The following is a 5,183-nucleotide window of genomic DNA, read 5'->3' as shown; positions in this document are numbered from 1 at the left end:
ACAGAGCGAGACTCTGTCTCAAAAAAAAAAGGCAACTCGCAACAATGTATCAAAAGCCTTAAAAAATGTGTACACCCTTTGAACCAGAGATTTCCCTTCTATGACTTTACCCCCAAAAAATCATTGAGAGACACAAGTAAGTATGCGGAAGTACCTATGGAACATTCATTCCAGCAGAAACCAGAAACACTCAAAATGCCCAACAATTTGACACATTACATTAAATGAACTGTGGTTCATCCATGTGGCAGAGCAAATATTATGGGTTCTTAGAAAAGATCATGTAGCCTTATGGGTGGTGGTGGTGGTCCTGGAGGGAGTCGGGAGCCCCTGTGGAGTGGCCGTGTTCTCCATCTTATCCCAGGTAGCTGCTGTATCCTTCAGCGTTCATTTTATATTTATTCTGTTATACTGTATACTTCAGTTTTACGCATGTTGTATTTTATAAGAAAGTTTTTAAAAAATGTGGTCAGATTTTTAAAAATGCAAAGATGTTCATCATGTACGGTTATGGGAAAAAAGAAGCAGGTTATTAAAAAGTCGATATAGTATGAGAGCATTTTTAAATGCTGTCATCAAAATACCTATTTATGGCCGGGTGTGGTGGCTCATGCCAGTAATCCCAGCACTCCGGGAGGCTGGGGCGAGCAGATCATGAGGTCAAGGGATCGAGACCATTCTGGCTAACATGGTGAAACCCCATCTCTACTAAAAATACAAAAATCAGCTGAGCGTGATGGCGTGTGCTTGTAGTCCCAGCTACTCAGGAGGCTGAGGCAGGAAAATCGCTTGAACCTGGGGGGCAGAGGTTGCAGTGAGCCAAGATCTTGCCATTGCACTCCAGCTTGGTGACAGAGCGAGACTCCATCTCAAAAAAAAAAAAATTCTATTTATACTTGAATACTATCAATATATTTTAAATATATATTTACACACACACTCGTAGAATAACATCTGGAGGGATAAGCATAAAAATATTAACAGTGATTATTTCTGAGTGGTAGTTTATTTTAATTTTTGTGATTTCCTTTTTTGATGCATGTACATATATATGTATATGTGTATGTATTTTGTGAGTATCTGAATTTTCTAATAGTTGTACATGAAGCATTTCTTTCTAAAAGCTTAAAAATAGTTATTATGGGCCGGGCGCGGTGGCTCACGCCTGTAATCCCAGCACTTTGGGAGGCTGAGGCGGGTGGATCATGAGGTCAGGAGATCGAGACCATCCTGGCTAACAAGGTGAAACCCCGTCTCTACTAAAAATACAAAAAATTAGCCGGGCGCGGTGGCGGGCGCCTGTAGTCCCAGCTACTCGGGAGGCTGAGGCAGGAGAATGGCGTGAACCCGGGAAGCGGAGCTTGCAGTGAGCCGAGATTGCGCCACTGCAGTCCGCAGTCCGGCCTGGGCGACAGAGCGAGACTCCGTCTCAAAAAAAAAAAAAAAAAAAAAAATAGTTATTATGACAGTAACAATCATTTCTATAGCTTTTCTTAGTTTACTATCAGCTCAAGAAAAAAACTAAGTCTAATAGCTGGGTGTGGTGGTGGGTGCCTGCAGTCAGTTCCAGTTATCCAGGAGGCTGAGGCAGGAGGATCACTTGAGCCCAGGAGTTTGAGGCTGTAGTACGATATGGTCGTGCCAGTGAACAGCAACTGCACTCCAGCCTGGGCAACATAGTGAGATCCCATCCTGTCTCTTAAAAAAAAAAAACTTGGTCTACTTACACTAGATGCTCATGTGCTGAAGATAAAGTCTCTGTCTACCTGGCCAAATATAAGTATTGACCTGCTATAAAACTACGGATGGCCCATTTGTTTTAGGCAGATGTGCAATTCAGAATCCACCCTGTCCTCAGCTTCGTCCAGCTGGCTGCTTGGGCAGCTGTAGCCACGTTTTCTCTTCTCCTGGTGCTCGCTGGCTTTGCTTCCTCCTCCATGGTCACAGCCACTGGTTGCATGTTTCCTTAGGGTCCAATAGACTGCCCATGTCACCAGATCCTGTCCAGCAACTATGCAGCCCCTGGGTCATTGGGACCCCTTTCCCAAGCCTAGGCCAGGAGTTGGATTTCTTTTTGGTGCTAGTCAAGTGTGGCTTCAGCTTCCTCATCTGTGAAATAACAGGACAGATGGGAATTCCCTCTGAAAACTCCCTGTGCTCTACACTTGTAAGGAAAATTATTAGGTGCAACCTCCCCACCTACTCAGGTGAACTCTTTGAACCTGCTTAGGTTTAAGTTAAGGGCATCATCCTTAGGTTTAGGTTTAAGGTAAGGGCAGAGTTTGCAGTGAGCCAAGATCACGCCACTGCACTCCAGCCTGGGCAACAGAGCAAGACTGTGTCTCAGAAAAAAAAAAAAGGCTTAAAGGCAACCAACTGAATAAATCAAATGGCCATGGGGAATTAGGTGAGAATAACAGAGAATAACAGAGAGGGAGACTTTCTAAAATAAAATATCATTTATTTGCGACCGAGCATTGTGATGGAGACGCATGTGTCACGGTAAACTATGTGTGGATTCACGGAGGCAAAGAAAGATGAAAGTTTTTAAAGGAATAATGAGGAAGACTATATAATTGTTTTAAGATCATTGTTCTTGACTACAAGGATCAATAAGAAGGATGGAATCAGTCCAGGGTTGGACAGGCAGTTGCTAGACAGATGTCCTAGCAGAAGCATTCTTTTGTGTAAAGTTGCAATGGCTTTGGATAAGTTGTGTTTTTTTGTAGAGACTTTTGTGATAGTTTTTGTTATCAGGCATTTGTGCATGAGAACCCTTCCTTTATGGTTTTCCTCAGCTCTACTTTTTAAGAGTTTGTTTAACACAAGTGACTCCATTTTGATTCTGACAACTTTCGTATTTCTCCCTTTTGATTAAAATCTTTTTCCAAAGCTGGGTGCAGTGACTCACACCTGTAACACCAGCACTTTGGGAGGCTGAAGTAGGAAGATTGCTTGAGCCCAGGAGTTCAAGACCAGCCTGGGCAACAAGATGAGACTGTCTCTACAAACAATACACCTGCCTGTGGTCCCAGCTACTCAGGAGGCTGAGGAGGGAGGATCACTTGAGCCAGGGAGGTCAACGCTGCAGTAAGCTGTGATTGCACCACTGCACTCCAGCCTGGGCAACAGAGAGAAAGACCCTGTCTCAAAAAATATTTTTTTTTCAAAGGTGTCACTGATGAATCATCCTGCAGTTGTGATCTGATTGCTCCTCAATGCTGTGATGGACTTGTCCTGGGTTGTTGGTCTTAGCCACATTTGAGCAACAAGGCATCTAAGGTTTGGAGGAAGTGACATTTAGGCTAAGTCTACCTGAAGTCCACTGTTAAGTTTAATTTTGTCTGTTCTGTAGTCTTTGGGCCATTATCTCAAAGTGCAGGGACAACATCATTTTGATAGGAATCATACTTTTGCAGAAATTAGACAAGTAACACGTACAAAGTTTCAAAGAAAAATACAAAGTAACATTTAGTATGTCATAGTAATATGACAACTCCAGTTCGTTTAATAGTTTTGAGCTATAATAATAGACTTAAAGGCGGCTGGGCACAGTGGCTCACGCCTATAATCCCAGCACTTTGTGAGGCTGAGGTGGGTGGGTCACGAGGTCAGGAGTTTGAAACCAGCCTGACCAACATGGTGAAACCCTGTCTCTACTAACAATACAAAAATTAGCTGGGCGTGGTGGCACGCACCTGTAATCCCAGCTACTTGGGAGGCTGAGGTAGAAGAATTGCTTGAACCCGGGAGGCAGAGGTTGCAGTGAGCTGAGATCATGCCACTGCACTCCAGCCTGGGCAACAGTGCAAGACTCTGTCTCAGAAAAAAAAAAAAAAAGGCTTAAAGGCAACCAATTGAATAAATCAAATGGCCATGGGGAATTAGGTGAGACCTATCATAACCATGTGGCCTGCTTTTAAAACAAATTTTGTGTATTGGGTCTCAGCTTTCATGGAGGAATGTATCCGGGTAAAGCACGAGAAAGGTAGGCATAAGAAAGAAAAAAATAAGAAGGACAAGACTGTCATATGAGGGGTGTTGTTCTGTTGTCTTGGGAAAGTCATCCACAGCATGAAGTCATCAACTACTTGTGTCTGGTTATGACATCAGGTTTGGTGAGCTTCTTGTGTGGCCCATATATTAGGCATGAGACTTGTCCCTTGAAATTTATATTAAGTTAACTAGCTTTAGCATTCAGGACTTTAAGAACAGAGCAATTTTTGTTCTTATTGGAGAGTTGTGGCTGAATATTGGAGGCAATCAAGAAAATTCAGGATCTACGTCCACTCTACAGGTAAATGAGAATGTGGAAACCATGTACAGGGTTGCAATCTACGATATGTGTATTATAGCTTTTTCTTTCTTTCTTTTTTTTTTTTTTTGAGACAAAGTTTCACTCTTGTTGCCCAGGCTAGAGTGCAATGGCATGATCTCGGCTCACCACAACCTCCACCTCCAGGGTTCGAGAGATTCTCCTGCCTCAGCCTCCCGAGTAGCTGGGACTACAGGAATGCACCACCACACCCGGCTAATTTTGTATTTTTAGTAGAGACAGAGTTCCTCCATGTTGGTCAGGCTGGTCTCGAACTTCTGACCTCAGGTGATCCGCCCGCCTCAGCCTCCCAAAGTGCTGGGATTACAGGTGTGAGCCACGGTGCCTGGCTTAGTTTTTTCTTTAGAGTCAAACTTTTTTTCTCTATAGACATCCTGATTTTTATCAATCAGAGTAAGACATTTGTTTTTTAGATAACCTTAGTTTTAGCAAATGTTGTCTGTGAGAATAGTGATTTGACCACATATTATTCTCAGATTTAAAAACCTTTTGAGGGCTGGGCACGGTGGGTCATGCCCGTAATCCCAGAAGTTTGGGAGGCTGAGGCGGTCGGATCACCTGAGTTCAGGAATTTGAGACCAGCCTGGCCAACATGACGAAACCCCTTCTCTACTAAAAAAATACAAAAATTAGCTGGGTGTGGTGGCACACACCTGTAGTCCCAGTTACTCAGGAGGCTGAGGCAGGAGAATCACTGGAACCCGGGAGGCAGAGGTTGCAGTGAGCTGAGATTTCGCCACTGCACTCCAGCCTGGGCAACAGTGCAAGACTCTGTCTCAGAAAAAAAAAAAAAAAGGCTTAAAGGCAACCAATTGAATAAATCAAATGGCCATGGGGAATTAGGTGA

This window comes from Homo sapiens, chromosome 8 (assembly GCF_000001405.40).
Source record: "Homo sapiens chromosome 8, GRCh38.p14 Primary Assembly".
Lineage (NCBI taxonomy): Eukaryota > Metazoa > Chordata > Mammalia > Primates > Hominidae > Homo > Homo sapiens.
This window is presented reverse-complemented; position numbering follows the sequence as displayed.